The 16,394-nt window shown below is 54.2% G+C and overlaps 1 protein-coding gene and 1 pseudogene across 1 annotated transcript, besides 5 other annotated features; one reads left to right on the forward strand and one right to left on the reverse strand.

Annotated features, from left to right (window-relative positions):
* Nucleotides 165-666: an enhancer, noted in NCBI's record as "H3K27ac hESC enhancer chr22:38054605-38055106 (GRCh37/hg19 assembly coordinates)". NCBI's record gives its function as "activates a minimal SCP1, AML or CMV promoter by ChIP-STARR-seq in naive H9 embryonic stem cells {active_cell/tissue: H9 hESC(naive)}" and the evidence as "EXISTENCE:reporter gene assay evidence [ECO:0000049][PMID:30033119]".
* Nucleotides 167-476: a silencer, noted in NCBI's record as "silent region_13691". NCBI's record gives its function as "represses an Ori minimal core promoter by ATAC-STARR-seq in GM12878 lymphoblastoid cells {active_cell/tissue: GM12878}" and the evidence as "EXISTENCE:reporter gene assay evidence [ECO:0000049][PMID:35858748]".
* Nucleotides 290-8,499, forward strand: PDXP (pyridoxal phosphatase). Its single transcript, NM_020315.5, has 2 exons — nucleotides 290-923; nucleotides 7,122-8,499. Exons 1-2 carry the CDS (start codon nucleotides 350-352, stop codon nucleotides 7,436-7,438), a joined length of 891 nt encoding a protein of 296 aa, NP_064711.1. The 5' UTR covers nucleotides 290-349; the 3' UTR covers nucleotides 7,439-8,499.
* Nucleotides 677-786: a silencer, noted in NCBI's record as "silent region_13692". NCBI's record gives its function as "represses an Ori minimal core promoter by ATAC-STARR-seq in GM12878 lymphoblastoid cells {active_cell/tissue: GM12878}" and the evidence as "EXISTENCE:reporter gene assay evidence [ECO:0000049][PMID:35858748]".
* Nucleotides 1,493-2,004: an enhancer, noted in NCBI's record as "H3K4me1 hESC enhancer chr22:38055933-38056444 (GRCh37/hg19 assembly coordinates)". NCBI's record gives its function as "activates a minimal SCP1, AML or CMV promoter by ChIP-STARR-seq in primed H9 embryonic stem cells {active_cell/tissue: H9 hESC(primed)}" and the evidence as "EXISTENCE:reporter gene assay evidence [ECO:0000049][PMID:30033119]".
* Nucleotides 2,005-2,515: an enhancer, noted in NCBI's record as "H3K4me1 hESC enhancer chr22:38056445-38056955 (GRCh37/hg19 assembly coordinates)". NCBI's record gives its function as "activates a minimal SCP1, AML or CMV promoter by ChIP-STARR-seq in primed H9 embryonic stem cells {active_cell/tissue: H9 hESC(primed)}" and the evidence as "EXISTENCE:reporter gene assay evidence [ECO:0000049][PMID:30033119]".
* RN7SL385P (RNA, 7SL, cytoplasmic 385, pseudogene) lies at nucleotides 11,031-11,306 on the reverse strand (annotated as a pseudogene).

Raw genomic sequence — 16,394 nt, forward strand, 5'->3', positions numbered from 1 at the left:
ATTGGTTAAGAAGAGCGTCAGTCTCCCACCGCGTAAGAGTGTAGTCGGCGTTGAAACTCGGCGGCGACTGGTCCAGCAGAACCAGGGACGGGGAGAAGGATCAAGCTAGCTCTTCATTGGTCCCTTCCCCTCGGTGTTGGCCACGAATCCGCCCCTCTCTCCAAGTTCCGTTAGCTCGCGGCTTCGCTCCTCTCCCAGACTCTCGCCCCCATTGGCTGCAGGCCACGCCGTCGCCCCGCCCCCCGGTCCTTCCAGCGCGCCAATTGGCGGCTGCGTGGAACGTGCCAGGGAGAGCGCGCCGTGCCCGCGGAGAGAGCGCGGCGCGGGAGGCCGGCGGCCGGCCGGCTGCATGGCGCGCTGCGAGAGGCTGCGCGGAGCGGCCCTGCGCGACGTGCTGGGCCGGGCGCAGGGGGTCCTGTTCGACTGTGACGGGGTGCTGTGGAACGGCGAGCGCGCCGTGCCGGGCGCCCCGGAGCTGCTGGAGCGGCTGGCGCGGGCCGGCAAGGCGGCTCTGTTTGTGAGCAACAACAGCCGGCGCGCGCGGCCCGAGCTGGCCCTGCGCTTCGCGCGCCTCGGCTTCGGGGGGCTGCGCGCCGAGCAGCTCTTCAGCTCCGCGCTGTGCGCCGCGCGCCTGCTGCGCCAGCGCCTGCCCGGGCCTCCGGACGCGCCGGGCGCCGTGTTCGTGCTGGGCGGCGAGGGGCTGCGCGCCGAGCTGCGCGCCGCGGGGCTGCGCCTGGCCGGGGACCCGAGCGCGGGGGACGGCGCGGCCCCGCGCGTGCGCGCCGTGCTTGTGGGCTACGACGAGCACTTCTCCTTCGCCAAGCTGAGGGAGGCGTGCGCGCACCTGCGCGACCCCGAGTGCCTACTCGTGGCCACCGACCGTGACCCATGGCACCCGCTGAGCGACGGCAGCCGGACCCCTGGTGAGCGCGGGAATGGCGGGGAAACTGAGATGGGGGCGACCTGCGCATTCGCCTCCACGCCTAAGGGTGAGGGGCGGGGAAGAGGCGTCTCCAGGTGGCAGGTGGGGAACAGGAGAGTGCGAGGGAGGCCCAGGGTGCTTTGGTGTGGGGGGCGGTTGATCCCTGTAGCCGTCATCCTGTGAGGCGCAGCAGTGTGGTCCCTGTTGGACAGATGAGGAAACTGAGGCCCTTTGTAACTTAGGGAGTTGGGCGGAATTCTGCCCTACCCACCATCGGGGTGGGGTTGGAGAGGAAGCCTGGGAGGATTGTCCCCCTGTGTGAGGGTTGAAACACCATTCCCAGAGGCAGGGTGTAGGCAGGTGTGTGGGGAGCAAAGGCGGTGGAGTTTGACCTCAGTTCCAGGTCCAGCTCCAGCTTCACAGCTGTGTAATCGTGTTCAGTTACATAACCTCCAAGCATCTCTGCCTGGGTGAGAAATGGCAGTGCTCAGCATGCCCGGTGACGGTGATCAGGGTGAGTGCCTGGCACATAGTAGGTGTTCAGATGATGTAAGTTGTAGCCAGAGTCCCCCATGTTACAGAGAACTTAATGAAACAGCTTTGTGTGTGTTCTTCTTTGGTTTCCAAATTACTCTGGAGATGGAAGTTATTGTCCCATTTCTCAAGTAAAGAGACTGAGGCAGCCGGATGCAGTGGCAACAGCCTGTAGTCCCAGCTACTCGAGAGGCTGAGGCGGGAGGATTGCTTGAGCCTAGGAGGTCAAGGCTGTAGCGTGCTATCATTGCATCTGTGAAAAGCCACTGTACTTCAGCATGGGCAACATAGTGAGACCTTATCTCTAAAAGAAGAGGAAAGAAACTGAGACTAAGAGAAGGGAAGTGAGCTGCCCAAGAACAGATATAGTGAGCCCCTCCACCTCCTGTGTCCCCACACACCTGCCTCCATCCTGCCTCTGGGAATTGGTGTTTCAGCCCTCACAAGTAGGGACAGTCCTCGCAGGCTTCCCCTCCAACCCTCCAACCGCACCCCAATGATGGGTGGGGCAGAATTCTGCCAGCAACTCTCTGGCAGAGTGATAGAGCGCGGGAACCTGAATTTGGCCTTTGTGACACCGACCTCCAGGGCAGTCTTCACTGCTGTCATCTTGCGAGTTCAGCCCTGCAGGGGAGGCAGAAGCAAAAGGAGGCTCCTCCATTGTGGAGGGTTTGCGTTAGACAAGAGCAGGTGGCAGCAGAGGCTAATTGGCAGTGGTCAGTGTGTGTGGACAGGTTAATAGCCCAGTCAGTATACTGGGGCCGTGGACAGATCTCTGTCACTCCGTCTCTGTTGGCCACTGACCCGGACAGTCATTGATATTAAATCCTGGGGGTACAGGATGGTATTGAGTGGAGAGAAGTAGACACAGGATTATGGTGGGGTGGTGAGCAGGGCCTAGTGCCAGGGGCACCTAGGAAGACTTCCTGGAGGAGGCATGATGCAGGGCAGTGATAATACACCAGGAGATGTAAACCCAGTGTTATGGCATGGCAGAGAGGGATTCTGTAGTCCTTGGCCTCTCCTGGCTGTGCTGCACACCTGCTTGGTATGTGGGCGGGCTCACCTCAGCCTCAGTTTCCCTATAAGTCTGTGTTGAGGGCTCTCTGGTCAGGGCTGTCAGCGGCAGCAGCTCCTGCCTGCCTTAGGCTATGCTATGAAAAGTTTTTCCCAGGAGGCCTCAAGGCTCAGGTTAAGGCTGTGGGTTAAGAGGTTCCCCAGGGCTCAGGAAGGCTGGTTGTCAAGGAGCTAGGGAGAAACCAGGCCCTGCCCACACCTGCCTTGCAGGCGTCTGTGGAATCCAGACCCCTTTGGTCTCAGTAGCCACCTGGCTGTGCCCACCCATCCTGCTGTCACTCCCATAGCCTAGAGGGGGAGGCAGAGGCTTAACAAATACAGCACTGCGATCATGTTTGTGCACAGCTTGATGCAGCTTTCAAACAGTGTGGTGTGGTGTGGTGTGTGTGTGTGGTGTGGTGTGGTGTGACAATATTAATAAAAGCCCCCATGATGTGTATGTCTGAAATAATGCAAATATCTCACCCCCAACTCCTCCTCCCCTGCCCCAGGGACCTCCGAAATTGTGTGTTTATCTTGTCACCACATGGCAGCCACTTGAGCTGACAAATAGAAAGGCCTGCTGTCTTAGGAATACGTCATCAGCATAACATGCAGAGCGGTGGATTACAGAGTGGAGGGGAGTGGAATGATGGTGGCCTGGGAGACGGCGATGTTCCCAGATGCCCCTGCTAGGAGGCTCGCTCCCCTGAGGTCAGGATCTTTGTAGTGTTGACTGCTCTATCCCGTGTCTGGCATGTAGTTGGGCCTTAGTAAATATTAGCTGAATGAAGGATGTGGGACACAGGGCCCAAAGGTGAACAGCTCCATCCTGGTGGGGAAGGACAGAGTTGGGGCCATTCTTGAGCTCAGAAGAACATTTTGGGATGACTCAGTGGAAGCCCTTTCTGTCCCAGAAGGAATCGCTCACCAACGGAGCACGTGGCTTTTATTCTCTCTCTTTTTCTTTAATTTTTTTTTTTTTTTTTTTTTTTTTTTTTTTTTTTTTTTTTTGAGACAGAGTCTTGCTCTGTCACCCAGGCTGGAGTGCAGTGGCCTGATGTTGGCTCACTGCAACCTCTGCCTCCTAGGTTCAAGCGATTCTCCTGCCTCAGCCTCCCCAGTAGCTGGGATTACAGGTACCCACCACCACACGCAGCTAATTTTTATTCTCTACCAAGTTCTTAAAATAGGCAGGTCACAAGATGTCAGATGAGGGGAGAACTCCCAGGGGTGTTGCCCTGGGCCAGCCTGAAAGCATGAGTTCTGGCCCACCTCGGCCTTGATCTTGTGAGCCTGGGAAGTTTCTCTTCCTCATCTGGGGACAGCAGGGCTGAGGATTCTTGCTCTCCCCGCCTGTTTTCCCCTTTGTTCCCCTTCCCCATCTTTGCCTTTGGCTTAACTGAGTGGAGTGTTGTCAGCCTTGGGAAGGGAGACAGGAGGCCCAGAGCATTTGGGGTCAGACCAGTGGTGCGCTGAGAAACATGGAATAGCAGGGAAAGCCATGATTATACCATGTGCTGGCTTCTGTGGTGTAAATACTCCCAGTACAGCCGATCTTGAGCTACCAACGTGCAGTCAGTCCCTGAACGTGGGGTCAGGAAGAGATGTGCAGTAGCACACACCTTCATACAGGATTTCCACCATCACAGGTACGGTGGAACCTCAAGAGCAAAAAGAGCAGAGGCTAGTGTGGTTCAGTAACTAAGAAGTGATGAGTTTTGAGAACTTACTACCTTTGTTTTAAACATTATCATTTAGGTCGGGCACAGTGGCGCATGCCTGTAATCCCAGCACTTTGGGAGGCCGAGGCAGGTGGATCACTTGAGGTCAGGAGTTCGAGACCACCCTGGCCAACATGAGGAAACCCTGTCTCCACTAAAAATACAAAAATAAGCTGGGTGTGGTGACACGCGCCTGTAATCCCAGCTACTTGGGAGGCTGAGGCAGGAGAATGGCTTGAACCCAGGAGGCAGAGGTTGCTGTGAGCTGAGATCGCTCCATTGCACTCCAGCCTGGGTGACAGAGCGAGACTCCATCTCTAAATAAATAAATAAATAAAAGATTACCATGGGCCGGTTACAGTGGCTCACACCTGTAATCCCAGCACTTTGGGAGGCAGAGGCAGGTGGATCACGAGGTCAGGAGATCAAGACCATCCTGGCTAACACAGTGAAAACCCATCTCTACTAAAAAAATACAAAAAAAATTAGCCGGGCATGGTGGCGGGCGCCTGTAGTCCCAGCTACTCGGGTGGCTGAGGCAGGAGAACGGCATGAACCCGGGAGGTGGAGCTTGCAGTGAGCCGAGATGACGCCACTGCACTTAAGCCTGGGCAACAGAGCGAGACTCCGTCTCAAAAAAAAAAAAAAAAATCATATAGTTGTAAGTTTGTAAGCTGACTTTTTTTTGAGACAGGGTCTCGCTCTGTCACCCAGGCTGAAGTGCAGCGGCAAGATCACAGCTCACTTTAATCTCAAACTCCTGGGCTCAGGCACTCCTCCTGCCTCAGCCTCCTGAGTAGCTGGGACTGCAGGTATATGCCACTGTACCCCACTATAATCCTGTGTCCACTTCTCTTCACTCAATATCATCCTGTACCCCCAGGATTTAATATCAATGACTGTCCGGGTCAGTGGCCAGCAGAGAGGGAGTGACAGAGATCTGTCCACACCCCCAGTCTACTCACTGGGCTATTAACCTGTCCACACACACTGACCACTGCCAGTCAGCCTCTGCTGCCACCTGCTTTTGTCTGACTCAAACCCTCCACCGTGGAGGGGCCTCCTTTTGCTCCTGCCTCCCCTGCAGGGCCAAATTCGCAAGATGACAGCAGTGAAGAGTGCCCTGGACCGGATGTCGGTGTTACAGAGGCCAATAATTTTTTTATTTTTCGTAGAGACGGGGTTTCATGGTGCAGGCTGGGCCTTTTATTTATTTATTTTAAATGCAGCTGTGCCTGGAATACGTTGACTTTTTTTTTTTTTTTTTTTTTTTTTTGAGCCAGAGCCTAGCTCTGGCGCCCAGACTGGAATGCTGCAGTGGCGTCATCTCAGCTCACCGCAGCCTCCGCCTCCCGGGCTTAAGTGATTCTCCTGCCCCAGCCTCCCAAATAGCTGGGATTACAGGCATGCGCCGCCATGCCTGGCTAATTTTTGTGTTTTTAGTAGAGACGGATTTTTACCATGTTGGTCAGGCTGGTCTTGAACTCCTGACCTCAGATGATCCGCCTGCTTCAGACTCCCAAAGTCCTGGGATTACAGGCATGAGCCACGGTGCCCAGCCAGCTTTTCTTTTTTTTTTTAATTTTTTAAATATATATGTATATTTAAGTAGAGATGGGATCTCCCTGTTGCCCAGGCTGGTCTTGAACTCCTGGGCTCAAGCAATCCTCCCACCTGTGCTTCCCAAAGTGCTGGGATTACAGGCATGGGCCACTGTACCCAGCCATAAAGTGACTCTTAATAGTACCTTCCTTTAACAACCAGCTCATAAAATTCCTGCATAGGAAACAATCTGTACTCCCAGGTCAGAGCTGGGTTGGACCCACCCGAATGCAAATCCTTTTGCTGCCACTTATGAAGCTGTACAACCCTGGGCAAATTACTTAATGTCCCTGAGCCTTGGCATTCTCATCTGTAAAATGGGCTTCCAGAAACACCCAGCACAGGCCAGGCAGTTTAGAATGTGCTTAGTAAATGGTGATTATCATCATTTGTTCAGGGACATTAGCATGAAGGCCGAATGTTCTGGCACAAAGACACGTCTGTGGGACAGGCACAGTGGACTTATTGTGTGAGGCAGGATGGTACTGGGCTGGAAGACAGGACTGTCCTTTAGTTCTAAACAGTCCTCCTATTGTTGGACACTCGGGAGTGTTCCACAGTTTGGCTTATCGGTTACTGTAGCCACAGACGTCTTCCAGCCTGCAGCTTTTTGTCTCCAGCTGGAATTCTCTTCTTGTGATCACTTTCCCGGGGGACGCGGACTGGGTCAGAGGTGCGAACATTTCTGTGCCCCGCTGTGTTCCAAAGGGGCTGTGCCAGTTTCTAACGCCAGCCGCGTGAATTCCTGCAGCAGTAACCACAACTGCTATTTGTTAAGTGCTGTTCCATTTACAAAGCACTTGCCCCTGTGTTGCCCAGCGCCCGTTTGGAGGTAGGCATTACTTGGATTCCGCTTTCTCAGGAGTCCGGAGAAACTTGGGGTGGTTGAGTGGTTTGTCCAAAGGTCCACGGCTGTCAGGGTGAAATCGCGAACCTCAGGCAGGACTGACCGAGCCAGGCCCTGTTTACCTGCAGTAGCTCCACGCATCCTCACAGTACCCACATGAGATAAGTGCCGTAGACATCCCCATATTAGAGATGGGGAAACCAAGGCACAGAGAGGTTAGCTAGCCTGCCAAGAACGGTGGAGATGGAGTCCAGATGCCGGCATCTGGTTGCCGTCTCTACCCTTAACCACTACAGTGAGACTCGGAAGTGGGCTTTCTGGCTCCTGTCAGCAGCCGATTTGACCCTGGCACAATCCACCTCCCTGGACTTCCAGTTTCAGGGCCTGACGCTGTCCCTGCCGCCCTCCTGCTGACTGCGTCTCCATCTCCCTACAGGCACCGGGAGCCTGGCCGCTGCAGTGGAGACAGCCTCGGGACGCCAGGCCCTGGTGGTGGGCAAGCCCAGCCCCTACATGTTCGAGTGCATCACGGAGAACTTCAGCATCGACCCCGCACGCACGCTTATGGTGGGTGACCGCCTGGAGACCGACATCCTCTTTGGCCACCGCTGCGGCATGACCACTGTGCTCACGCTCACAGGAGTCTCCCGCCTAGAAGAGGCCCAGGCCTACCTAGCGGCCGGCCAGCACGACCTCGTGCCCCATTACTATGTGGAGAGCATCGCAGACTTGACAGAGGGGTTGGAGGACTGAGCCCACTGCACCTGCAGCCACAGGCCCACCCCTCCCCACTCCCTGATCCCGTAGGTGGAGGCGATGGGTCACGAGCCATGTTAAGCACAACCGGCTCCTTGGTCCAGTTCTGCACCGGGGTGGGGCTGGGACCCGGGGAAGGTTTGAGGGCCCTTGCAACCCCCTCCCAGCAGTGGCTGGGCACTCTTTGCTGCCCCAGAAGCTGGTCCCCTATGGATTCATCTTGGCCTGACCCAGCCAGGTGGCCTTATTTCTTCCCTGTCACCTCCCCTCCTTGAAATCTGGGCCCTGGTGCCTGCTGAAGATTCCCTCTATCCCTGAGTACTTAGTCTTCTCCCCCTTCCCTGGGGCTTCTAGAGCTCTCTCTGCCCCTCAGGTCCTGGCCCTTGGGTCCTTGTCAACCAGAGGTCTAGGGAACCACAACCCTTATTGTCCTGGGTGGACCAATCCAAAGGCTAAGTGATAGTGACTCATCAATGTTGGGTCCTGTGGGGTACCAGTTTAGGTTCCTAAGTAATAGTGACCCTTTCACGTCCTGGAGCCCGAGTGGACCAATCGGAAGCCTAAGTGACGATGACCCTCGCATGTCCTAGGTCCCTGGGTGGACCCATCAGGACCCCAAGTGATAGTGACCCAGTGGTCTTTTAGATCCTCAGTAGAACAGTCCAGAAGCCTGAGAGACAGTGGCCCCTTGATAATCTGGGTCTCACGGGACCAGCTAGGGGTCCAGGTTTCAGTCAGTAAATAAGAGTGGTCCACGTCCTAAAGACACCTCTCCTTTACAAAGACTTGTGATGCTCTGGGGCTTCTGTGGCCAAGCCCCACCCTTTCCTGGTCATGGTACCCGTACAGCGTTGATGGCCACAGCTCGAAGGGGGGCTTTCGTGTCCCCCTGTGCGGTCAGTGTTTTCAGTACCACCTCTCTCCCGTGCCCACTTGGCTATTTACTTATTTATTTATTGTGTGCCAGTGATGGTGGGTGGGGGCTGGGCCTTCCCCGCCACCTCCACCCCTGTTGTGACCTGTCCTTCCGTACTTAATAAAGTGCGCGTGGGAGTGTTCACCTGTGTTTGAGTCTATGTTTGGGGAGGGAGGAGGACCCCCTGCTGGAGTGTGCTCTCCCTGGACCTGGCCCACCACATTGTTCTCTGCATGAAATGACCCATTCCTGTTCCTGAGTGTCTTCTGTGTGTAGCGATACTTTGAGTCAAGAGTGCTTTATAGCCAGGCGCGGTGACTCACGCTTGTAATACCAGCACTTTGGGAGGCCAAGGTGGGTGGATCACAAGGTCAGGAGATCGAGACCATCCTAGCTAACACGGTGAAACCCTGTCTCTACTAAAAATACAAAAAATTAGCCGAGCGTGGTGGCAGGCGCCTATAATCCCAGCTACTCAGGAGGCTGAGGCAGGAAAACGGCGTGTACCCAGGAGGCAGAGCTTGCAGTGAGCCGAGATCACGCCACTGCACTCCAGCCTGGGTGACAGAGTAAGACAATGTCTCGGGAAGAAAAAAAAAATTAGCCAGGTGTGGTGCGGTGTGCCTATAGTCCCAGCTACTTGGGAGGCAGGAGAATCGCTTGAAGTTGCAGTGAGCTGAGATCACGCCACTGTACTCCAGGCTGAGCAGCAAAGCAAGACTCCGTCTCAAAAAAAAAAAGCTCAACATGGCTAAGGCTTAGGGGGTTTCGGTCTGCTCCCTGAGGTGGTCTAGCACCCTCCAGGTATATCCTTCTCAGTTCTGAATCCCCAACCAACATCCTAGGGCAGATTCTCATTGGCCTGGCTTGGGTCATAGCCCATCTGGATGGGACACAGCTATTGGTCCATGTGACCCTACCCCCCTTTCCCTTCCCCTTCCACCAGTAAGGAAATGGTTGCCTCCACACAGTCTTGCCTCAGCCTCCCAAAGTGCTGGGATTACAGGCGTGAGCCACCACACCCAGCCTAAGCACAGAATTTTTTTTTTTTTTTAAGATAGTTTCTCCCTCCGTCACCCAGGCTAGAGTGCAGTGGTGCGGTCTTGGCTCACTGCAACCTTCGCCTCCCAAGTTCAAGTGATTCTCCTGCCTCAGGCTCCCAAGTAGCTGGGATGACAGACGCCTGCCACCACACCCAGCTAATGCCACCACGCGTGGCTAATTTTTGTATTTTGAGTAGAGGTGGGGTTTCACCATGTTGGTCAGGCTGGTCTCAAATTCCTGACCTCAAGTGTTCCCCAACTTGGCCTCCCAAAGTGCTGGGATTACAGGCGTGAGCCATCTTGCCCCGTCTCTAAGCACTGAGTCTTAATGAGTTTAAAGCTTGAGTGTAAACCAATCGCAGTAATTTGATTCCTCTGGGTCAGTGATTGGCTAATCTTCTGACCAATGAAACATGAAGAGAGGTCTGGAATGTTTGCCTCATTCTTTTTTTTTTCCTCTTCTTTTTTTTTTTTTTTTTTTGAGACAGAGTCACTCTCTGTCACCCAGGCTGGAGTGCAGTGGTGCGATCTTGGCTCACTGCAACCTCCACCTCCCAGGTTCAAGCGATTCTCCTGTCTCGGCCTCCTGAGTAGCTGGGGCTACAGGCGCACCCTGCCATGCCCGGCTAATTTTTGTTGCATTTTAGTAGAGATGTGGTTTCACCGTGTTGCCCAGGCTGGTCTCGAACTCCTGAGCTCAGGCAATCCACTGGCCTCGGCCTCCCAAAGTGCTGGGATTATAGGCGTGAGCCACCGCGCCTGGCTGTTTGCCTCACTTTTAAAGGACATAGAGGAGGGAGTCACTTTTCCTGGCTTTGGGTGTGGTCCTGGGAGCCGTTGCAGCCATTCTGTGATCAGGAGGTATGGCTGAGCATTTAACTCAGGTGACCCTGTTGCAGGTAGCAGAGCAGAAAGACGGCAAGAACTTACTGGGTTTGTTTTTCCCCAACTTGTAATTTAGAAAAGTTCCAAATTAATATAAAAGGTGCAAGGATAACAATGAATACCGCTACATCCTTCACCTAGATTTACCAGTTGTTAATATTTGCCCAGTTTGCTTAACTGCTCTTTATATATGTTTACTTTTTGTTACTGTTTTAGAGATGGTCTCACTCTATTGCTGAGTCTAGACTGTAGTGGTGCAGTCACGGCTCATTGCAGCCTCTAACTGCTGGGTTCACGTGATCCTCCTGCCTCAGCCTCCTGAGTAGCTAGGAGCACAGGCATATGCCACCACACCCAGCTAATTTTTTAAAAAATTTTGGCCGGGCGCGGTGGCTCACGCCTGTAATCCCAGCACTTTGGGGGGCTGAGGCGGGTGGATTACGAGGTCAGGAGATCGAGACCATCCTGGCTAACACGGTGAAACCCCGTCTCTACTATAAATACAAAAAAAAAAAAAAATTAGCCGGGCGTGGTGGTGGGCGCCTGTAATCCCAGCTACTCGGGCGCCTGTAATTCCAGCTGAGGCAGGAGAATGGCATGAACCCGGGAGGTGGAGGTTGCAGTGAGCTGAGATCACGCCACTGCACTCCAGCCTGGGCAACAGAGTGAGACTCCATCTCAAAAAAAAAATTTGCAGAAATGGGGTTTCCCTTTTGTTTTGTTTTGTTTTGTTTTGTTTTGTTTTAGAGACAGGGTCTCACTATGTTGCCCAGGCTGGAGTGCAGTGGCTATTCACAGGCAGGATCCCACTGCTGATCATCGTGGGAGTTTTGACCTGCTCTGTTTCCGACCAGGGCCAGTACAGTCCTCCTTAGGCAAACTTGTGGTTGCCTCTCCCAGGAGGTCACCATATTGATGCCAATCTTAGCACACTACAGCCCACGATTCCTGGGCTCAGGCGATCTTCCTGCATCAGCCTTCCAAAACGCTGAGATTACAGGCATGAACCACTGTGCCCAGCTTGTTTACATTTTTTAACTGAACCATCTGAGAGTATGTTACAGATGCTAACACAGTTCACCGAAAATTCTTCAGCTTGTATGACCTAAGAGCAAGGACAGCCTACACAGCCACCATCCAGGATTACACGAGAACCTAGACATTTGATGATTTTATTGAGTCACTGAATTAATGTGCTATGGAAACTCCCAACTGCAGACTTTTTTTTTTTTTTTTGAGGCAGAGTCTTGCTCTGTCGGCCAGGCTGGAGTGCAGTGGCGCGATCTCGGCTCACCGCAAGCTCCGCCTCCCGGGTTCAAGCAATTCTCCCACCTCAGCCTCCTGAGTAGTTGGGATTACAGGCATGCCCACCATGCCCAGCTAATTTTTTTTGTATTTTTAGTAAAGATAGGGGTTTCACCATGATGACCAGGCTGGTCTCGAACTCCTGGCCTCAAGTGATCCACCTCGGCCTCCCAAAGTGCTGGGATTACAGGCGTGAGCCGCCATGCCTGGCCAGATATTTTCTAAACTCTTTTTTTTTTTTTTTTTTTGAGACAGAGTCTCACTCTGTCGCCAGGCTGGAGTGCAGTGGCGCGATCTTGGCTCACTGCAACCTCCACCTCCCTGGTTCAAGCAATTCTCCTGCCTCAGCCTCCCAAGTAGTTGGGACTACAGGCACACGCCACCATGCCCAGCTAATTTTTGTATTTTTAGTAGAGACAGGGTTTCACCATGTTGGCAAGGATGGTCTCAATCTCTTCACCTCATGATCCACCCGCTTCAGCCTCCCAAAATGCTGGGGTTACAGGTGTGAGCCACTGCGCCCAGACTCTAAACTCTTAAAAAGCTTTTAGATTTCCTTTGTGTCTATAATTATTTTCAAAATAAAATGCTCACTGGACACAGTGGTTCACACCTGTAATCCCAGCACTTTAGGAAGCGAAGATGGGAGGATCGCTCGAGGCTAGGAGTTAGAGAGCAGCCTGGGCAACATAACGAGATCCTGTGTCTCCAAAAATAAAAATAAATTACCCAAGCCCAGTGGTGTGCACCTGTAGTCAGTCCAAGCTCCTCAGGAGGCTGAGTCAGGAGGATTGGTTGATCCCAGAAGTTTGAGGTTATAGTGAGCTATAATCCACTCCAGTCTGGGTGACAGAGTGAGACCCTGTCTCAAAAGTAAAATAATAAAATATAAAATAAAATAATATAAAATAAAATGCTAAAAGCATTGTAAAGGTTCAGGCCTGAGTCTGGGAGGGCTGTGAATGAAAGGACCTGGCCCCCACCCAGACCTTACCTGAGAGGAGCGGCGGGGCCCTAACCGAGGGCTGAGGCCTGCAGTCAGAAGAGATACAGACAAGAAGTGGGAAGGCCAATGGCAGGTGTGGAGGGGGCTGTCTGGACAAAGGCTGGGAGGTGAGAATGGATGAGCAGGGTTGAAGGGGCGGGCTGAGGTGCCACCTGGCTGGAAAAGGGCCCAGGTTGCCAGGGGCATCCCCCACCTTCATAGAGTAGGAGGGAAAAGATAGCTTTTCAAGCCCAGGTATCTTTAGTTCAGCAGATGAAAGCGGGTCGGCCCTAGCTACCTGTGTGACTTTGGTCAAGTGGCCACCCTCTCTGGGTGGTTTCCCCGACCTTAAACTGCATCATTAAATGGGGGAGCAGGTCAGGCACGGTGTCTCAGGGTTCCTCCCTGCTCTGACTTCTAGGACTCAGAAGCTGGCTCTGACCTCCCCTACCTTCCCTGGCTGGAGCACCCAGGTTGGCTGCGGGTGTGGATGGCGCCTCTGTGGGCCGCCCTCCTTCAGCACCGCCAGCTGAAGGAGGTACAGCTTCCCTTTCCCCGCCTCTGCCCCCTGTCCCTGGCAGGGCGGGAATGACCGAGCTGGCCTGGATGACTTGTCTAGACCAAGCTGAGCCCATTTCTCATGGCAGCAGCCAAGATCCAGCCCAGGACAAAGGAATTCCAGAGAGCTCACTGCCTCTATTTCAGGACAGTTATAACGTGGGGAGGAGAATCCCTGGGGTGGTGGCCTTAGCCTGGGGGATGCAGGAGGGAGCACTAACATCGAGCCCCTCCTTAGACATCACTCCTATCATCCTCCAAGCAGTGGCCTTATTCCCATCTTCCAGGCCTGGAAACGGGTTCAGAGAAGCCAAGGACCTCAGCTACAGCTGCAGCCACTCAGCCCCCAAACCAGAACTCACCACTCGTCTCATCTCCTGATTCTTTTTTTTTTTTTTTGTGATGGAGTCTTGCTCTGTCACCCAGGCTGGAGTACAGTGGCACTATCTCGGCTCACTGCAACCTCCATCTCCTGTATTCAAGCAATTCTCCCTGCCTCAGCCTCCTGAGTAGCTGGGGTTGCAGGCACCCGCCACCACACTCAGCTAATTTTTGTATTTTTAGTAGAGATGGGGTTTTGCCATGTTAGCCAGGCTGGTCTCGAACTCCTGTCCTCAGGTGATCCACCCACCTCAGCCTCCCAAAGTGCTGGGATTACAGGCATGAGCCACCGTGCCCGGCCTCTTCTGATTCTAACTGCAGCTTCATTTCCCTGTGCAGAAATTCAACCAAGTTGGCAGACACAAAGTAGGGGCGAGGGGAAGATGAGAGGGGAGATAATGAAAGCAAGGCGCCGGGCACAGGGCCTGGCAAGATAAGTGGGCGCTGCCACTAGGAGGCCCTGAGGACTAGGGGGAGGAGGCCCACGATGCACCTGTGTCCCTGCCTTCCCTCCCCGCCAGGAAAACCGCAGCTCCTGTCACAGGGGACACTGGAATCTGGAGAGACTTCTTGCCCCAACCTCGGCAAGAGGAGACTGTTGGGGACCTGTTGGGCATGACATGTAGACCTCCCAGAGGTGCTGCAAAGACCTAGGGAAGGTAACAGCCTGGGAAGAGACAAGAAGGAAGTGAAAACCTTCTGAGCCTCCATGAAAACACGAATCATCTGTTTAGTACAACAGACCTCAGTTCCACCCTGTATTCACCTCGTGCAAGGAAAGCAGGATTTCATCTCCCCAATTTACAGATAGGGAGACTGAGGCAAGTGGGAGAAGCAGCTTGCCAGGAGGCTCTGAGGGGACATAGCAAGCAGGGCCAGCACCCGCGTGTCTAGACTCCCAAATAGGCCTTTCTAGGGACCTCTTCACCATGCCACCCTGCCTCCCTGCCAGCCCCACTCATGCCAGACGCTGCAGAGGAGTAAATTGTCCCTCCATCCAACAGCAAACAGTCCCTGATGCCGGGCCCATTTTCCAGGGTGGAGGAGGATGCAGGAGCAGCTCCTGAGGCTACAAGAACCCAATTATTGGGCTGGGCTGGGAAAGTGGCCACACCCACCCGCCCGCAGCCCGGCGAGGACCACACCTGAAGCGCCTCTGACCCTCGGTCTAGGACTCCGCCTGAGATGCCCCATTCCTTGATCTGGCAGAGAGGGGAGGCATGGGGGAGGGGCAGTGGAACTAGGCTGGGCCCCATCCAGCCCTTCCTATGGTTGAGGTTTTGGGGAGGCCCGGAGGAAAAAGTGAAGCTGCTGTGGTTGGTTTCCAAGCAGCCACTTGGTCTGGAAGGAGGGGTAAGGCACTCACAGGGGTGCAACCCCATCCCCTCTCTGGGTCCGCCTTGCGGCCCTACACACTCCCCTCTCATCCTGTACCAGAGTGGGCTTTGGGCATCTGGAGGAAGGTGCCCCTGAGAGGCAGGGTGGGTGTGTTGGCCTGGCTTCCAGATGTGAGTCACTCCTGGTCCGCATCTTCGTCCCTCTTTGGTGCCAGCAGTTTCAGAAGGGGGACGGCCAGGTGGAGAAGGAGGTCCCCGTGACAACCCCCCAGCATGCCCCTCATTTTGCCCAGTGCTCCCCACGCCCCTTCCTCCACCAGGTTCCTGAGTGTAAGGTGAGCACCCCTCCCACCCACCCTCAATTCTCTGCCACAGTGATCTTCCCTAGAGCCCAAATCTGGCCTCAGTACTCACCCTCCCTCTAGCCCTGGCTCCCCAGCCTCCTCCCATACAACAATGTCCAAGCCCTGTGCCCAGCCCATGAGGCCCTCCATGGTCCAGGTCCTGTTGGCTTCCCAGCCTCATCCCCGTTTTTCCCCCACATGCCCGGAACACTGTTCTCCAGCCCTGGCCTTCTCATTCTGGAGCTTCTGCCCATGGTGGAAAGCCAGGCACTTCTCCGCCTACCCTTCACGACCCACCTCCTTTACTCATGCAGCCGCCAGCCCACCATAGCACTTTCTCATGGCTTCCCTTACAGCCATCATCATCTACTTCTTTTTATTTTTATTTTTATTTTTTATTTTTTTTAATTGAGACTGAGTTTCACTCTTATTGCCCAGGCTGGAGTGCAATAGACTGATCTCGGATCACTGCAACCTCTGCCTCCTGGGTTCAAGCGATTCTCCTGCCTCAGCCTCAGGAGTAGCAGGGATTACAGGCATATGCCACCATGCCCAGCTAATTTTGTATTTTTAGTAGAGATGGGGTTTCTCCGTGTTGGTCAGGCTAGTCTCGAACTCCTAACCTTAGGTGATCCGCCCGCCTCGGCTTCCTAAAGAGCTGGGATTACCGGCGTGAGCCACTGCGCCCAGCCCATCATCTACTTCTTAACGTGGTTGTGGTCAGATTCCACCCCAACTATGCGCTCCTTGAGAGTGGGGACTGGGAGGGGTTCAGCTTTGAATCCTCAGAGCCCAGGGCCAGGTACATAGTAGGTGCTCAGTAAAATACCTGCTGAACACTCAGGGAAGGGAGGGCTGTGCCGGGCCTCAGAGGAGATGTTAAGAGAGCAGACAGGGTGGCCAGGCATGGTGGCTCACACCTGTAATCCCATTACTTTGGGAGGCTGAGGCGGGTGGATCAACTGAGGTCAGGAGTTTGAGACCAGCCTGGCCAACGTGGTGAAACCCCGTCTCTACTAAAAGTACATAAATTAGCCGGGTGTGGTGGTGGGGGCCTGTAGTCCCAGCTACTCGGGAGGCTGAGGCAGGAGAATCAGTTGAACCTGGGAGGCAGAGGTTGCAGTGAGCTGAGATCACGCCACTGCACTCCAGCCTGGGCGACAGAGCGAGACTCCATCTCAAAAATAAATATATAAATA

This window comes from Homo sapiens, chromosome 22, assembly GCF_000001405.40.
Source record: "Homo sapiens chromosome 22, GRCh38.p14 Primary Assembly".
Lineage (NCBI taxonomy): Eukaryota > Metazoa > Chordata > Mammalia > Primates > Hominidae > Homo > Homo sapiens.

Excerpts from the sequence above, each read along its gene's own strand:
- PDXP (NM_020315.5), top strand. The coding sequence starts at position 350 with ATGGCGCGCTGCGAGAGGCTGCGCGGAGCGGCCCTGCGCGACGTGCTG. Across the intron at positions 924-7,121 it reads CGACGGCAGCCGGACCCCTG|GCACCGGGAGCCTGGCCGCT; the intron begins GTGAGCGCGGGA and ends ATCTCCCTACAG.